Raw genomic sequence first — 18888 nt, forward strand, 5'->3', positions numbered from 1 at the left:
CTGGTGAGTCTGAATAGGGGACAAGGGAGTTCTTTGTGCTCTTCTGGCAGACTTTCTGTAAGGATGAAATCGAAGGGACAACAATAGCGACGAGTCTGGGGCTGCACCCCATTAGCACAGGACCAGGGCATGGGAGGGGCAGGGGAGGCAGTCAGGAGGAGCTGGAATTTCCTAAGTGACCAAGGAAAGGTGCTGGCAGACATCTTATTGGATAATGTTAGAGGAATACTACCCGATTTCCCTAACTTTATGTTATTTAATCCTCAGAACAGCAGCATGAGGTAGATACCAGGCTCCTCTTCACTTTATAGATTAGGAAATTGGAGCTCAGAAATTGAGCTTCACTCAGCCAGCATTTACTTAGTGTTTACTATGTGTCAAACATTACCGAGGTTACACGCACAGAAAATATTAAGTGTGATCGTCTATGTATGTGTGTGCATTTATAAAACAGTACTAGAAGGAAATGTACTAAAACAGTAGTATAATAAGGGAGGCTATATTTGGGGAGCAGAATTGCACAGATGTTTTCATTTTTCTCCTTTGTGTTTTTTAGCTATTTCTAGTTTTCTACAACTAGAAATTCCCTTTGTAATAAGGGAAAAAACAAGCATTACTTCAAAACGGAATTGGAGGATCTTGTGAAATATTTCACATTATGATTTCACTGTTGGACCAAATACTGTTTTCTGATGCAGTTTTATTTTACTAAAGCAATAGACAAATATGTCTTAATTCAGTTAAGCCTCCTTTCCACACACTGAGAGCTGGTGGGTTTACAACTGGAAAGCTGACATCCACTTGGACTCCTAAGACCTATATTTGTCTATATTTTCTGTGTGGGGGTGTAAGCCCAGGTGGCATGACCTCCTCTATCCCAGACAAAAGTTTTCAAGACCATCATGACACCAGCTTCTTTGTACAAAGACCACATGTGAACACAATTCCCACTGAAGGGGGTGTGTGGTTTGGTAAGAGTGCAGCTCTAGTGTCCACAAAAGGAGAAAAGTCAGCCCAATGGTGTCACTGTATTGTAAGGTGGGACACCCGTCAGCTTAGGGTGTCTTCTGACTGATGATTCCTTCTTCCCTTTTACTGCCTTGGCACCCTGAGCTCTGCAGTCCCCCCAACCCCCTGCCATGCTGCCTGGGCCCTGTTGGCATCCCTGTGTCTGTCTGGCTCACTGAGCTGAGCACCCTGCAAGAACAGACATTCCTCATGCACCAGTGTCTCTCATGGCTCAAGAGCTTGCTTTGAATGGAGCCCACAGTCATCACTGCTGGGTTGAACTGATTTGTGCAAGCAATAGTGGGTAAACAGGTGGAGTAAATTAGGGTGCATCCCTGCCAACGACTTCAGTGCAGGCACCAAAAACAATGCTTTGAAATGATTTATTCACCTGGGAAAGTGATCACAACTTGCTGCTAATTAAAACCAACAATAGAACAGTGAGTACAATTGAAGTCCATCATTGTTATTATCATAAATATGCACCCAACAAAAAACAAACTAAAAGAAAATACACTCAAAAGCACACAGTGGGCACATTTTGTCTTTGGGTAGTGGAAGTGTAGGTAATGTCAGTGTTTGGGGTTTTTCTTTGAATTTTTAAGCTGTTTTAGAAATAAGTTTTGTTATTAGGAAAATTATTTTTAAAGAAATATACATCTGAGGGAAAAGAGAACAAAGGCATGATAAATAAGGGGTCCTTGGTTGGAGATGATGCATCCAGAACATTTTGGATAAATAAGCTACTTTGAGTTAAGGGCCTTCTCGGCCTCCTACATCAACACAGAATCTCACCCCACCCTCCTAGTAGACACTTTCCTCCCAACCCCCTATCAGCTACAAATACTGTCAGCTTACACAGCAGGCCTTATTATTATTATTATTTTTTTTTTTTGCTGACAAGTCCAAGATGGCAGTCGGAACTCTGACCCATAAAACCAGAAGGCTTAGATGAAGAACAAAAAGAAGGGAAACCAACCCTGCTTCCTTTTGCCTGTTATTAATCGCTGCAATAAAGCCATTAGAATCTACCAACATATCACCCAACTTGAAAAGAAGAGAGATTCTGAAAAATAGTCAGAAAAGAAGGGTAAATGGAAATGATGAGTCCCTCCCCTTTATGGCTATTTTAAGAAGCACACCATGTTATTCATATGGCCCGTGCTTAGCCCACTCCCTGAATTGTTTGATTTTAGTGGATATAAAAATTCTTCCTAAGGGCTTTCTTAGTTCCACTGCCAGCAGTAGTTCCCCATTTCTATTTCTCGTTAGGTCTCAACTCTTCCGTCATGAGTTCTATGTTCCCCAGGATTCCAAGAGCCCAAATCCTGCGGTGGGAGTGAAGGGGAGGCAGATGCTGGCTACTGATTGGCTCTGGGACTCAGAGTGGAGTCACTGTGGAAATCACTATTTCCAAGTTCTTTGGCAGTGGGAGGGTGGCGGGGGGGGGGAGGTGATGGAAGAACAGAAATTCCTCATACATCAGTGTCTCCCATGGCTTAGGAGCTCACTTTGAATGGAGCCCACAGTCACCACTACTGGGTTTAATTGGTTTGTGCAAGCAATAGTGGGAAGTGGGTGACTTTGTTGACAAATGCTAATGGTCACAAATCTGAAATCTTGCTTGAGTCCAAGCCCTTCTCTGGTACACTTAGTCCCAGTCTCTGGAATATTTGGTTTTGCTCATTCATCTTCTTTCTACCAGGGGAGAAGTTCATGGAAAAGACTGAAGCCCCAGAAGCCTCAGAAGCCCCAGGCCACCATTACATTCCCTCTCTATCCCAAGTGGCTGTGACTCCATGCTGTGCCAAGAGTCAGAACCTGGCTGGGAGAGCCAGGCTGCTGGCTCAGTGTGCCTGGCAGGTCACGCCTGCTTATTTTGGGTTGGCCTCCTATGGTCTGAGTCAGAACCCAGCAGAGAGTTCATGCTCCCCTGTGGAGGGAGATGTGGAGCTGACCCTCTCCAGCCTGTCCACGGAGAGGAAGGGGAGCCATTTAACCAGGTGCACAGCCACACGCCTGTGGAACAACTGCCGCAGGTACTTCCGGAACCTCTCACCAACGAAGGCGTAGATCACTGGGTTGACACAGCAGTGCGTGTAGGCGATCACCTCCGTCACTTGCACAGCCAGGTCCAAATGTCTGCTCTGCTCACACTCATGGGTGAACAGGAAGTCTTGGAAAACAGAAATAAGTATAGTCAAATTGTAGGGGGTCCAAAAGAGAAAAAAGATGATCATGATGACAAAAATCAAACGGACAGCTTTGGATTTCTTCTCATTTGGTCGTCTTAGCAGAATCTTTATAATCCCTGTGTAGCAGATGATCATGACCAACAAAGGCAATACCAGCCCAAAGAGGTTCAGTTTCAGAGCCTGAAACAGCTTCCACTCTCGTAGGCTTTCGTGAGGAAAGTGAAGGCTGCAGGTGTGGTGAGTGAATTCCCATTGGGTCTTGGAAAAGTATAAGCCTGGCATGGAAGCCAAGATGGCCAGGGCCCAAATGATGATGCTGGTGATGACACCAAAAGTGACGGTCCGTGCCCGCAAGGCAAACACGGCGTGGACGATGGCCAGGTACCTGTCAATCGTCAGCAGGATGATGAAAAAGATCTCGCTGTACAAGCCTGTGTAATAAAACCCAGAGAGGATCTTACACATGGCATCACCAAAAACCCAGTCATCCTTCAACTTGTAGTCGATCCAGAAGGGAAGCGTGAACAGGAAGAGCAGGTCAGAAATGGCCAGGTTCAGGAGGTAGATGCTGGTCATGTTTTTTAGCCTCTTGTATTGCACAAGGACCAGGACCACCAGGATGTTTCCAACCAGGCCAATGACAAATACCAAGGAGTACAGAGGGGGCAGCAGTTGGGCCCCAAAGGCCCTCTCGTTCACCTTCTGGCACGGAGTTGCATCCCCATAGTCAAACTCTGTGGTCGTGTCATAGTCCTCTGTGGTGTTTGGAGTTTCCATCCCGGCTTCTCCTACAGGTTAAAAAAAAAAAAAAGATTTGTCTTTACTCTGCTACTAAAGGCAGTGGGCACTGGACAGTAAAGACAAGGGAGAGGTAACATTTTTTCAGCCACTCCATAAATGTTTATTGAGTGCCTTCTGTGTACCATGCCCTGGGGACAAAATGGAGTGTTAGAGAGACCCAGATCCTCTCTGCCTTCTAGGAATCTTAGTCTAACAGGGAGTGGAAGCAATAAGTAAATGAGTGCACAAATCATTAATTCAATCATTTCAGCAAAGAGTTTTGTAAGGGATAAGTTCAATGGGTGGAAAGCCAGAGGGAGACCTTACCATACTATTCATAACCAACACTTCCTAAGCACCCCCATGGCCTAGGCACTGGACTTAGGGTTAAAGAGCCCTGGAGGGGTCCCATTGTTGTTCTTATTTAAGAGGTGATGAAACAGAGGTTCAGAGTGGTTAGGAAACATGTTCAAGGACACACCTCTTGTGAGAACAGACCTGGAGCTCCAACCCAGCTGTGCATCATTCTCATGCCCGGCCCTGACACCACTACGCTTTCCTGCTGCTGTCCCCGAGCAGTAGCTTTGCACTGTGGAGCCCACAGGAGGACTCTGAGAAGGAAAATGGTCCTGGCTCAGAGAAAGATACAAACAGATATTCATGGCTTTTGGTCTAAGAAGATTCTCAGCCGAGAGTGACCTAGTACCCTTGGGGCACTTGGAAATGTGTGGGCATTTGTTGTTGTTGTCACCAAAACTGGGGGATGCTACCGTCATTTGGTAGGCAGGGCCAAGGATGTCCTACAGTGCAGAGATCATTCTACCCCAAACACCAGTGGTGTTGCCATAGTGAAATCCTAGTAGGTCAACCCCATTATTTTGGAGATGAGGACACTGAGGGCACCAGAGTGGGCTGAGCCTGACCCACATTGCACAGTCCTTAGGTGGCACAGGTAGATCTAAGGTCACTTTGCAGACCTCCTGAAGGAGAGGAAAGTGCAGGCAGAGAAGGGGGAGGTAACCTGGTCAGAAAAAGAGAAAACTGGGCATCAGGGGAGGAAGAGTTCAGAATGGTCTGGAGCTATGAGGTGATGTTACACAGTGACTAGCTGAATTCTGCTGAGATAAGCTCTTAGATATTTTTACCCACGGATGCCTTAAAGCAAACAAAAATGAAACAAAAAAGAATCACTCTGTAGGTTGCCTTTGTAGGACTTCTCCCAGTCCCTGCTTTTTTGGCACTTGAATCCTTTCCAGTTGCTTATTAAAGATGCCTCCCCAAATGGAGCATTGGCTTTGGTGTAACCTACGAGCTTTGTGACTTTGGATAAATTATTTTACCTCTCTGAGCTTCATTCCTCATCTGTAATGTGGGAAAGCAACTCTTATCTTGCAAGGCTACTGTGAGGTAATGTATGAGAAAAGTGCTACCATCACCCTCCCACCACCACCACCTGGCAACAGCCAGGCCCCTTATTGAGGGCCTGGCAAGAGCCAGGCCAGGGCACTTTTCTTGGGGACCTTCCCTGAGAGAACTCCTTCACTGCAGGAGCCCTTCCCTGAGGCCTGACACCACCAGCACATCCCAGGCACCAATGTCCAGGATGTCCCTGGCTGGCTGGTATACCCTGTCTCCCACCCCCCTGCCAAATTTCTTTGTAGTTAATCTAGAAAGTGATTTTTCTTGATAACGGTGGACAATGATGGTCCCTTCCATGTGAATGACATTTGAAATTGTCAATCTATTGCCGCCAATCTAAATTGATTTGACCCAAATGCCAATCAGTAAAGTAGGTGGCACCTACTTTATAATTTCTATCTTAAACCTGGGTCTCTGGTGTTCTTCCTTCTACTCTCCTTAAGGAATGTTTCCTGCTTACACAATTCACATTTTTTTCAATAGCCATTGTAAAGGAAATTAAGGCACATGGAGGGTATAGGGCACCCTGGCTGGAAAGGGAGATACTCTATTAGGGTGAGAAGTGAGGAGCTTTAATTTTTTATCAAACCCATCCCCTGGCCCACTCCTCCATCTCCAGAGAGATCCAATCAGCCCTCTTTCTGGAGAGAGTCAGGCTAACGGTCACTAACAAAGCTGTGTTGGCAGTTTCTAATTTCTGCAGCCACAGCCATTGCTGATGAGGGCAGACAGTTCGGTTTGATAGTCAGCACTTTTCGGTGGGCTGGCAGGTTAACAGTGGAAGTATGCAAATAGCTTGGAAAGCACAAAGAGCAGCTAGTGCAAGCCTGATCCCATGAGTCCAGTTTCTGGGAAGGTTTGGCAAAGGCAAAGGCAAGTTGAGTCAACATTGTCAGGTGGCATTTTAAACCGAGTCACCTCCATACACCCCCTACCTCCAACCCATTTGTTATTTCCCCAACTTGTTAAGCCCCAGGCAACCACTCCAAGGCATGCTGTTCCTAAAGGGAGGTGATCTGGGGTGGGGCCCGAGAAGAGAAACCAAAGGACCATGTTGTCATCTAATCTGCCAGCCCTGCTGTAGTCTACTGCAGAAGTCTGCCTCAAGGCCACTGCACAGTGGTCAGCTATAGCCCTGGATCCTGGACCCTCCACTGCTAGTGTCCTCCAGCCTGGGAGTTGGTGAAGTCTCTGAGCAGAGATAGAGCAGTCTGTGATGGTGAAAGACACCCAGGCCTATGGTGCGCTGGCTGGCTTATACTGGTTTATAAATGCCAATTGCGTGCATCTCTTCCCCACTCCACATTCAGCATGTTGGTAGCTTGAAACTGACCACAGTGGGGGCATTTATACCATGAAAATCAACAAATGTTATAAAGCAGGGATCTTTTCTTCAGAAGAGTCAGTTGTTGAACATTTACCAGCACATCACTGCCCAGGCCCCACATTCTGAACAGTCCAGCACTGTCCCACTGCTCGGTGCGGGAACTAAAGGATCAGTGAGTGGCACATAGCCTGGTGCCAGGTTGTGCAAACTTTTGGGAGTTTCCATCTCTTCTTTGAAATCTGGGACCCACCAAGACCACCTATGAAGTAGATACCTATACGGAGCCACCATGCCCCTCTATCTTCAGAACAAAATCCTGACCTGTGTCTTTGTTAGTAGAGCAGAACAGATGCCCCCCAAGATCACCTGGCCAGCTCCTTGCCTTTGGGTGAGTGAAAGCCTACCTCTTCCAAAGATAGCAGTGCCAATTTTGAGGATCCTTGGTTCTAGTCTTCTTAAGAGATAGGTTCAGTATCAAATCATCCTTGCATCTGCCAAGATTTTTCTAGCTAATATTTCCCTCTTGCTATAATTTCTTCATACACCATGTTTGGTTTTCCTTTACATGGGGGAATTTGGCAAGCAATTTTTTTTTTTTTTTCAGACAGACTCTTGCTCTGTCGCCAGGCTGGAGTGTAGTGGTGCAATCTCAGCTCACTGCAACCTCCACCTCCCGGATTCGAGTGATTCTCCTGCCTCAGCCTCTTGAGTAGCTGGGACTACAGGCATGCGCCACCATGCCCGGCTAATTTTTATTTTTAGTAGAGACAGGGTTTCACCATATGGCCAGGATTGTCTCCATCTCTTGACCTCATGATCCACCTGCCTCGGTCTCCCAAAGTGCTGGGATTACAGCCGTGAGCCACTGCGCCCCGCCAAGTAATTTCTTATTGAATAGGTTTCCACAGAAAACACCTTTTGTCCCTTAGTACTGACTGACTTTCTTAATCAGTAACCAAAAGCCAATCCTTCAAGTAAGCTTCCTTTTTAGCAAAAAAGCCTATATTTCATCTGAGCACCCAGCTTTATAAATCCACCATTCTCAGTATTGCTACAGTATTAATTGCCTTGGAGATGCATCCATGGGCTACTTAGACATTTGCCCAGCCTACTCAAAGAATTCCCCCTACCTTTGAGGAGCCCCTAGCTGCATGCATGTCTTTGAACAACACTGCCCTCCACAGTAACAGATAAGACAGAAAAGACAAGTGACACTTACTCTGGTTCCAAGGGACTTTGTCCGTGAAGTCTTTGTTTCTGGGGCTTTCTGGGTTTTTATGAATTCAAGTTTCAAGATCCTGACCAAGTAGGAAGTACTCAGCTTCCTGTGTGATGATGGAGAATTGGCTCCAGTTTCACAGTCTTTCAAAATGACAAGAAAGGGACAAAGTTCTTCTTTTTGTGTGGTTTGGTGCTCATGAATGGCCACAACGCCCACCAGTGGCCACTTCCTGGAAGCCAAGTTAACTGCGAGGATTTTCTCTGCTCACTCTGAGCCTCTTGAGTCTTGGCCCTGGGAGCTCAGCCTTAAGGGAATTGGGGGCAGGTGAAGCTGAGTTGGGTGAGGTGGGTGGCAGTGAGATGTTCCCAGAATGTTTGGAGCAATTGAAGTGTGGGATGTGTGTATGTGGGATGGGGGCAGGGCATAGAGCTCTTGTGGTCAGCGGCAGACTTCTTTTTTTTCTTCTTCTTAAAGATTGTGAATGGAAGGATTTAAACTGGAACCCTGAGTCCTGTTCCTCAAAACTAACTGACATGGGTGCTCACAGAGGCAGCAGCTTCTCTTTGGCACCCTATGCCCCTCGGCTTCTGGGAGCTCATTGTCCCTCTGCTCTCTGCTCCCCAAGTCCCTCCCCACCAAACCTCAGAGAGTGGCTTTGCCCCAGGAACCTCCAGCATGAAGGGAATATAGGTCTGTTGGTTACATTTTGACCTTCCCTTTCTGATGCCCCATTCCTGTTTTACGTGATGGTCAAACATGGGCCAAGTTCAAATCCCAGCTCTCCACCTGTGACATGGGCAGATCACTCACCTTTCTAAGTCTTGGTTCCTACTCTGCTAAATGGGAGTATTGAATGCTTACCTCAGAGGAGAAGCACGAAGTCAACTTGTACATGAAAAATGTCAGAGTGCCTGGCACAGTGAAAAATGTCTGACAAATGATGAGTACTGTGACTCTCCTCACAACTGCCAACACCTACTCTGCCTCTGCCCTTGTGTCTTCTATAAAGTGGGGACACCCCTAACCTTCCTCACGGCATTGCTACAAAGCACTGTTTCAGAAATCATCAGTGTGAATGTGCTTTGAAAAGATCACTTGTCTCTTCATGGTTCAGTTTTCTTATCTGTAAAATGAAGAATTCAGACAAGATGGCCTAAGCTTGACATCTGATCATCACTCAGCTTCACCCCAAAGAAATAAATGGGGGTCTGCATGTGCCTGGCTATTTGCAGTACTTTGCTGGTGGATCAGTTTCCAAAGAGAACAGAGGCTTGTGAGGCCTGCCTTTTCCTTGATCCTGTCTAAAGTAAGGGACATGGTCAGTACCTCATCCTTGACCAGGCTTCCAGCTCTGCTCTAGGTTTCATTCCACAGAGGGGATGTACCAGGCAAATCTGCTTGTTCATTGAACAAATATTTATTCAGTACTCACAATGTGCCGGACATTGTGTTAGGTGCTTGGGATATAGTGGTGAAGAAAGAGGCTGGATCCATTCTTTGAGAGCTTATAGCTTAGGAAGGATCACAAACAATTAACCAAGTTACCACAATGAGGAACAGCTTTTGTAGTGGCCTGGGAAATACCCTGGGCTAAGGAAGGGTGCATCGAGGGTGGGAAGGGGTGAGGAAGTCCTTTAGAGCAGTGGTTCTCAAAGTGAGGTCCCTGGACCAGCAGCATTCACATTCCCTGGGACATTGCTAGCCATGCAAGTTCTGGGGTTACATGCCAGATATACTGACTCAGAAATCCTGGGGATGCGGCCAAGCAATCCAGGTTTTGACAAAGACTGGCATGATTCTGATGCATGCTTAAATTTGGGGGGCATGGATCTAGATTTTCTCAATGCTTTTGGCTCAGAGTCCCATGTGATCTTTCTTCAGAAGAGTTAGGCTGGACCAGCTATGAGCTAGGAAGCCTTCTTTCTCTCTTTAGCTCAAGGCCTAAACAAGAGGCTGCTCAGTTGCCTGCTCTGTCTCCCCTCCCACACCCACACTCAGGTCTCCTATGGCCTTGCAAACCCCTTAGTGCACACACCCCTCTCACCACAGCAGATGTGTACAATGGGGGCAGCACAGAGAGACAAGAGAGAAACCAGCAAAGAGGGATGACCTTGCTCCATTCATTTCTCTTAAAAGCCCTTTGACTCCTCTCCTTAAAAGCTGTAGTGTTCTCTCAAGGTTGCCGTATTGTCCTTGATCCACATCAATGTTCCTCTTCCTTGGAGAGAAGGGGGAGATGTGGGCAGCTTCCTTTGCCCCAGAGAGGTTGCAGTGGAAGCCCAGCACTAAGCCAAACCCTGTCCTGAGACAGCCTTCCACCCCAGCCTTGGCACCAATGTTCAGGGAAGAGATGCAGGGGACCCTGCCAGTGGTGGATGTGGATGACTCTGTCTTTAACACCTGCAGAGCTCATGGACCCTGGCCGTCATCAGGTTCAACCTCATATTCAACTGCTGGGCCTTGTCTTCTGGCCACACACTCTCTCCAAATCAGCGATGGTGGGGAACTGAGGAGCCAGAGGCCATTGTGGAAGAACTCCAAGAAAACAATCTCCAGGTTATCACATCTAAAGCCTGAGCAAGATTTGAGGCTGGGAAGAGGTGGATCCCAGAATTGGAAGAAGGTAGGTGAAACCAGTGTTGCCTCCGCTATGTTAGAGTCACATGGAAGCTTGAAGGACAATTGACTCCTAGGCCCACCCCCAGATATTCTGATGTACTTGGTCTAGGGTGCAGCCTGGGCATTGGAATTTTAATATGTTAAAAAATCTGAGAACTAGAATCCCTGGCCTAAAGCAATGGTTCTCGAATTTGAATATCCATCAGAATCTACAGAGGGCTTGTTAAAACAGATTTCTGGACTTATCTCCAGAGATTAAGTTCAGTAGGTCTGGAATGGGGCCTGAGAATTTACTTTTTTTTTTTTTTTTTTTTAGACAAGGTCTTGCTCTGTCGCCCAGGCTGGGGTGCAGTAGCATGATCATGGCTCACTGCAGCCTCAACCTTCTGGGCTCAAGTGATCCTCCCACTTCAGTCTCCTAAGTAGCTGGAACCACAGGTGCATGGCACCACACCTGGCTAATTTGAAAAAATATGTATATATATATATATATATTTTTTGTAGAAATGGGTGTGTTATCATGTTGCCTAGGTTGGTCTCAAACTCATGGGCTCTAGTGACCCTCTTGCCCCAGCCTCCCAAAGTGCTGGGATTACAGGTGTGACCTGTGATCCCACCATGCCTGACCTAGATTTGCATTTCTAATAAGTTTCGAGAACCACTGGTCTACAGGAATTCTCTGAGATGTAATTTGTTTATATTTGTAAGTACACAAAATATAAGGTGAAGAGCTAAGTTTGCCTACCCCTGGCGCCTTATTTTCCCCATTTCTCTTCCCAAAAGGAACAACAGTATCAGATTCTCATGTCACTTTGAACATAGAACACACGCACACACACACTTTTTTTTACACTGGTGAGTGAATACAATACACGTTGTCTTCCATTGCTTTTGTCACTGAACCTCATACCCAGAAGATTCTTCTCCACCAGCAAGCACCTGGGAATAAGCATGTAGGCAGTGACTATAGCCTCTCGATGTGGTGGAAACAGAGAAATATCAATAAGGTGCACACCTGAAGATTCTAACCTTGAGTTTGTCTAGGTCTCTGATTCCTTAATTTGATACCCCCTCCTGTGTCAGCCCCATGACTTGGCCTGCTCGTTCCTCCTCTTCCTTCTCACCTATTTATTTGCCTTTCATGACCTGCACACATCATCCATGGCATCCAATTTTGACTTGGCCCTGTTTCTGGTTCTCCTTTCGTGATACAACCTCAACATTCCAGAAACCTTATGTTCTGATTTAACCAAGACGGGGCAGGGCCCAGGCACCTCAACTGCATGGACCCTGGTGGTCACTGATGCAAACCTTTTAGGTTCGGTGGCTACATGAATAGGTTAATTTGGTGGTGCCGTGATCACAGAGATGTGAGATGTCCCTGTTGCCTAATCTTGGGGCACACTGTCTGCATGACGAAAGAGGTTGCTTCTGATCCCAGGCTATTTCCAGAACACCAAAGTCAGATTGGTTACTGTCTCACAGATGGGCAAAAGTGGTTTTGGGAGATGTAAGAGGGTCTTAGGCAGTAGCACCCCAGGTCCCTCGACATCACCTCATTTCCCCCCTCTTGGCCCCCCTACCACACTCCTCTTGTCTTGTCTAATTTCTTTCCCCAGCCTCTCTTTCCACCTCCCCTCCTCACTGCATACTTCTTCTATCCAGGTGGTCATTTTTCCTCCTGCATCTCTGCCTCTTTTTGCCTGCCTGGCCTCTGGCCTCTCCAAGGTGCTCTCTCACCTCCCATTCTACAAACTCCAACTTGACAAACCAAGGAGAAAGGGGCCAAGACTTCTTTGCCCCCTCTCTCCCTACTCTCTGTCCTGCTCATCTATCCCACTGTGCTTCATCGTGTCCCAAAGTGAAAGAGGGCATTGGGCACATCAGTGTGAGATCCCTCACCATGGATCATCCAAGAGGCTGCCTCCTCCCTGAAGCCTTCCCATCCTCCATGACAGGAAGTCATCAATGAAAGACTGACGTAGCACCTCTGAGGTTTTTAAACTTCTTAGGGGGGTAGGGGGAGACCTGTGTTGAAACCTCATTGTATACATTGGGTACTTTTGACAGCAAATAACAAAGCAATGGACTCAAAATAGCTCAAAAAAGAAAAAGAAAAGAAATCATTGTTTTCTCACAAATCTAGATATTAGCTCTGGTTTGAAATTACTCTTTAACAGTCTCTTGTAATAATTCTTAATGATTTCACTATTCACATGTTTCTATTCGTCTTTACAGCCTAAAATACAACCTCAGAACTCAGGGGCTTGAAATCACAGTGACATTTTTTCTCGTGATTCTGTGAGTTAGATGAATCGTCCAAGGTGCTCTCACTCCCACATCTAGGGTTGGGGCCAGCTGTCAACTGTCAATTCACCTTTATGTGGCTGCTCATCTTCCAATCAGCTAGATAGACATGACATCTCATCTCTGTCTCAGGCCAGTTACGAGAGTACAAAATAGAAGCTGTAAAGCATTTTAAGGCATAACCTCAGAAGTCACATGATGCTGCTTTTGCAAGTAAGTCACAAAGCCAAGCCACATTCAAGGAGTCAGGAAATAGAAACTACCTTTTTTGGAAGAGCTACAAAGTCACATTGTAAAAGGCTGTGTGTACTCGGCTTGGAGGAGTTTGAGTCCGTAAATTATCTTCTACCACAATGCACAAATTTCCTCTAGTTCCATAGCCAAGTAGTTTCTTGAACTTCATCCCTCTAATGGTCTTGTCTTCCCCATACCTTGGTCACATATGCCCATGATCATAGCTCCTGAATCTTACTATCACTAATATCTGTAGCTCTTCATACTTCCTGCTGCCAGCATCCAGCCTCTGACCACCACCTCCTACATTTACTACTCACTGCCTCTAGCACCTCAACTCCAACAGTTCTTTAACCCCAGTGGGACCTCCAGTCCACTGATATTTTAATTTTCCACTGACCTTCAGCCTCCTCATGCCCTCACTTCCCATCATCTTAAAAATCCATGAGCCATCATTACAGTCTCTCCCTTAAACACACCCTCAATTCCTTTGCTCTTTTCTGATCCTGTCATGCCCACTTGGCAAAATTTTGGTCCTAGTTAGATCCAGCTCCCCCACTTGCATCTGTGAAGTTAAATATGGCCAGAGAAAATCACACAACCACAGTGACTAGGGTGGCTCTAAATGATGATAGCTGTATCCAAAGCATCCTTAATGCCCATCAACTGCATTCCCCTCTTTTAGACATTATTTCACACCTTTTGCCTTTTCCTTAAACCTCCAACACCACCTGTTATCCTCATTCTTAGCTGATGATCTTGTTTCCTATTTCGCTGAGAAAATGAAAGCCATCAGAAGAAACTTTCTACAAGCCCCCACCTCTCACCTCCCCTGCTACCGGTCACTTTTTTCCTGGACAGTTCTCTGCCTCCCACCTGTTACATGGCTGGATTCTCCATGTTCCTGTCTAAACCCATCCCTTCCGCTTGTGCAGGATCCCAACCTCTCTCACTCACTCAAGGACATTGCTCTATTGATTTTCTCTCATCTTGTCAGTTTTTCCTGCTCTATTGCATTATTCCTATCCGAGTTATTTAATTTAGCAGCTTCATCTGGGACTCAGGTTCCTCCCATCTTTCTGCTCTGACATGTTCAGACCACCTCTGCTCAGGGATGTGGCTGCTGGGGTCACACTGAGGTATGAGGACATCTAACAGAGAAAAGGGCTGCCTTTTCTTTTTGCCAATTTATAGAAATAAGGAGCCCTGATGTTCTGTGATAAAACAGCCACTTGTGAGCCAGATCCTCTGGGGAGACCAGTAGATAGTGCCTCCACCTTTCCTCCCTGGGCAAGCAGAGGGTAATGGATGCTGCAGGGCAGTGTGGATGATGTAGGGAAGCCCCTTCCCTCAGGTCTTCTGGCACAGTGAAGTGCTTAGCAGAAAGCAGACACTGGGGGGCAGGATTTGAGAGCCTGTGAATGAACCAAGAGCACATTATCCCCTCCCAATGTCCCTTCCTGTCCCCAAACACACAAGTTTCTGGGGTGGTTCCTGCTGGCAGAGAGCCTGAGAGCATGGCCATTGTACCTGAAGAGGCTGGTGCCAAGAGCTGCCAACTAGAACCTGGTAGGTCTGTAATCTAAGTGCTCGCAAGAATGGGGCAGTGGCTCATTGTGGTTTGAGGCTGGCAGGGGGTCAGGCAGGAATGAAGAGCTGATAATGATCCTTGTACTCCAAACCTAAGCTCCAGACAGTCACATGTGTGTTCCTGTCACTTATTACATCCAGTCTGAGTGCTCATGCTGGTATTTGTTCCCTTACACCTCATCCATCACACAGCTATTAAGCATGTGTTCTCTCTGTCAAGCATGGAGTAGTTAAGAGTCCTAAAAGTTGAGTTAGGTAGGGCCTGGAAGTAGTGTTATGCAAGGTGAGGTATGTGAACCAGCAGCATCTGTGTCACCTGGGAGCTTGGTGGAAATGAAGGTTCTCAGGCCCCATTGAAGGTTAGACCCAGGAATCTGTGTTTTAACAAGTCCTCCAGGTGCTTCTTATTTATGCTAGAGTTTGAGAATCAGTGCTGGACCCTGCTGTTCAAAGTGATGGCAAAACCTGAGAGCTTACCAGAAATGCAGACTCTCAGGCCCCACCACAGGTTTACTGGGTGGGAGTCTGCATTTTTATCAGATCCCCAAGGGATTTGTTTGCACACGACAGTGTGAGACACCCTGGTCTAGAGGATCACGTTCTAGTGGGATAGAAGTCTGTATAGGGTTCAAGAGATACACAATGGAAGTTAGCTGGAGTCAGAAACACTTTGCATCGATGTTTACCCTGGGGCTAGAGAAATGAGTTGGAGTCTGCCAGAGGACCAAGAGGGCTGGAGATGAATGAATGGTGCCACAGAGCAACCCAGCACACCCCAGCACATTTCAGCTTGTAGATGTTCAGTAAACATTTTTTGGTTGGTCATGGGTTGTAGGGAGCAGGCTCACTAGGCTGCCCCTATAGATGGCTACTTCTGAGACCCAACCTGCAGCTTCACTTCATGGGAATAGCCAGAATCTGGGAGTCAGACACCTGACTTCAGATCTGGTTCCAGCACTGAGTTGGTGAAGCTGTGGAGGAAAAGTCATGCCTGCCTATTGCTGATGGGAGGGGAAATTGGGTCCCACTCCATGGAGGACTGTTTGGCAATAGCTATCGGAATTTGAAGTGTATGCATTTTTTATTCCAGCAATTCCACTTTTATGAATTTATCTTACAAATATTTACACATGTGGCAGAAGATACAGATTACAGGCACATTCACTGCAATGTAAGGGACTGATTAAGTCCCGCTGGAATGCTATGCAACTTTATGTGTTGACACGAAACGCCCCCCAGGTTGGAGTGCCAAGTGAATGAGCAAGGACCTTGTACTATGTACACACTGCACACATTGGGTGAGCTTGAAGGCACCTGTGTCTCTGGAAGAATAATTGGTGTGCCTGAGGAAGAAAGGGAATCTAAAACTTATCTGAAAACGTATCTGAGGGAATAATTGAGGAAAATTTCTCCAGTCTTGCTAGTGATCTAGAAATCCAAATACAAGAAGCTCAAAGAACACCTGGAAAATTCATCACAAAAAGATCATCATCTAGGCACCTAGTCATCAAGTTACCTAAAGTCAAGATGAAGGAAAGACTCTTAAGAGCTGTGAGGCGAAAACCTCAGCTTCTCCTTTATAGGTAATCTATAATGAAAACCTATCAGATTAACAGCAGAATTCTCAGCAGAAACCCTGCAAGTCAGAAGATGTTGGGGTCCTATCTTTTGCCTCCTTAAAATAATTATCACCCTAGAGCGTTGGATCCAATCCAACTAAGCTTCATTAATAAAGGAAGATAAAGTATTTTTCAGGTAAACAAATGCTGAGAGAATTCACCACTACCAAGCCAGCACTACAAGAACTGCTAAAAAGAAGTCCTAAATTGTGAAATAAAACCTCAAAATATACCAAAATAGAACCTACTTAAAGTGAAAATCTCACAGGACCTATAAAACAATAACACAATGAAAAAAAAGGTATTCAGGCAACAACTAGCATGATGAATAGAACAGTACCTCACATCTCAATACTAACATTGAATGTAAATGGCCTAAATGCTTCACTTAAAAGAAATAGAATGACAGATAGATAAAAATCCACCAAACTCACATAAACTTAAGGTAAAGTGAGGGGGAGGGAAGACATTCCATGCAAATGGAAACCAAAAGCAAGCAATAGTAGCTATTCTTATATCAGTCAAAACAGACTTAAAACCAACAACAGTTAAAAAAGACAAAGAGAAACATTATGTAATGATAAAAGTATTAGTCCAACAGGAAAATATCACAATCCTAGATATATATGCACCTAACACTGGAGCTCCCAAATTTATAAGACAATTACTACTAGACCTGAGAAATGAGATTGATGGCAACACAATAGTCGTAGGGGAAGTCAGTACTCTTCTGACAGTACTAAACAGGTCATCAAGATAGAAAGTCAACAAAGAAACATTAGACTTAAACTGTACCCTAGAACAAATGGACCTTACAGATATTTACAGAACATTCTACCCAAAAACTGCAGAATATACATTCTTTTCATCAGCTCATGGAACATTCTCCAAGATAGACTATATGATAGGCCACAAAATAAGTTTCAATAAATTTAAGAAAATCAAAATTGTATCAAGTACTCCGTCAGACCACAGTGGAATAAAATTGGAAATTAAAAGTTAAAAGGAACTGCCAAAACTACACAAATACATGGAAATTAAATAATCTGCTCCCAAATGATCCTTGGGTTAACTATAAAATCAAGAGGGAAATTTAGCAATTCTTTGAACTGAATGACAATAGTAACACAACTGATCAAAACCTCTGGGATACAGCAAAAGCGGTGCTAAGAGGAAAGTTCATAGCATTAAACCCCTACATCAAAAAGTCTGAAACAGCACAAATAGACACCTAAGGCCACACCTCAAGGAACCAGAGAAACAAGAACAAATCAAACCTGAACCAAGCAGAAGGAAAGAAATACAAAGATCAGAGCAGAACTAAATAAAACTGAAACAAACAAAAAAAAAATACAAAAGCTAAATGAAACAAAAAGTTGGTTCTTTGAAAAGATAAGCAAAATCGATAGACCATTAGCAAGATTAACCAAGAAAAGAAGAGAGAAGTTCCAAGTAAGCTCAATTAGAAATGAAATGGGAGATACTATAAATGATGCCACAGAAATGCAAAAGATTATTCAAGGCTACTATAAGCAAACTTATGTGCACAAACTAGAAAACCTAGAGGAGATGGATAAATTCCTAGAAATGTACCACCCTCCTAGATTAAACCAGGAAGAAATAGAAACTCTGAACAGACCAATAACAAGCAGCAAGATTAAAATGGTAATTTTAAAAATTGCCAACAAAAAAAAAAAGTCTAGGACCAGATGGATTGACAGCTTGAATTCTATCAGGCATTCAAAGAAGAATTGGCACCAATCCTACTGACACTATTCCAAAAGATAGAGAAAGAAGGAATCCTCCCTAAATCATTCTATGAAGCTAGTATTACCCTAGCTTCATACCAAAACCAGGAAATGACGTAATGAAAAAAGAAAACTACTGATCAATATCCCTCATGAATGTGGATGCAAAAATCCTCAACAAAACACTAGGTAACCGAATTCAACAGGATATCAAAAAGGTAATGCACCATAATCAAGTGGATTTCATACCAGGGAGGCAGGGCTGATTTAACATATGTAAGTCAATAAATGTGATATACCACATAAACAGAAGTAAAAACAAAAATCATATAATCATCTCAATAGATTCAGAAAAAGTATTTGACAAAATCCAGTTTCCATTTATGATTAAAACCCTTAGCAAAATCAGCATAGAAGGGACATACCATAAGGTAATCAAAGCCGTCTATGACAACCCCACAGCTAACATTATACTGAAAAGGGGAAAGTTGAAAGCATTTTCTCTGAGAACTGGAACAAGACAAGGATGCCCACTTTCACACTTCTATTCAGCATATTACTGGAAGTTCTAGCCAGAGCAGTCAGACAAGAGAAAGAAACAAAGGCCATCCAAATTAGTAATGAAGAAGTCAAACTGTCGCTGTTTGCCCATGATATGATCACATACCTAGAAAACTCTAAAGACTCATCCAAAAAGCTCCTAGATCTGATAAAGGAATTCAGTAAAGTTTCAGGATACAAAATCAATGTACAAAAATCAGTAGCACTGCTATACACCAACAGCAACCAAGCTGAGAATCAAATCAAAACCTCAACCCCT

General features: G+C 44.8%; 2 protein-coding genes across 2 annotated transcripts in view; one reads left to right on the top strand and one right to left on the bottom strand.

The window, feature by feature from the left end:
- Positions 1–1377: 1377 nt before the first annotated feature.
- On the bottom strand, positions 1378–7980 carry CCR1 (C-C motif chemokine receptor 1). The gene is made up of 2 exons (NM_001295.3): positions 7949–7980; positions 1378–3991 (listed from the first exon to the last, which is right to left on the bottom strand). The coding sequence occupies exon 2, from the start codon at positions 3978–3980 to the stop codon at positions 2913–2915; it is 1068 nt and encodes a 355-aa protein (NP_001286.1). The 5' UTR covers positions 3981–3991; positions 7949–7980; the 3' UTR covers positions 1378–2912.
- Positions 7981–10362: 2382 nt separating this feature from the next.
- Positions 10363–18888, top strand: part of CCR3 (C-C motif chemokine receptor 3) — a 56011-nt gene continuing 47485 nt past the window's right edge. Inside the window, exon 1 of the mRNA XM_006712960.4 lies at positions 10363–10574. The gene's annotated coding sequence lies outside the window, so the exon portion shown is untranslated. The remainder of the gene's footprint in view (positions 10575–18888) is intronic.

This window comes from Homo sapiens, chromosome 3 (assembly GCF_000001405.40).
Source record: "Homo sapiens chromosome 3, GRCh38.p14 Primary Assembly".
Lineage (NCBI taxonomy): Eukaryota > Metazoa > Chordata > Mammalia > Primates > Hominidae > Homo > Homo sapiens.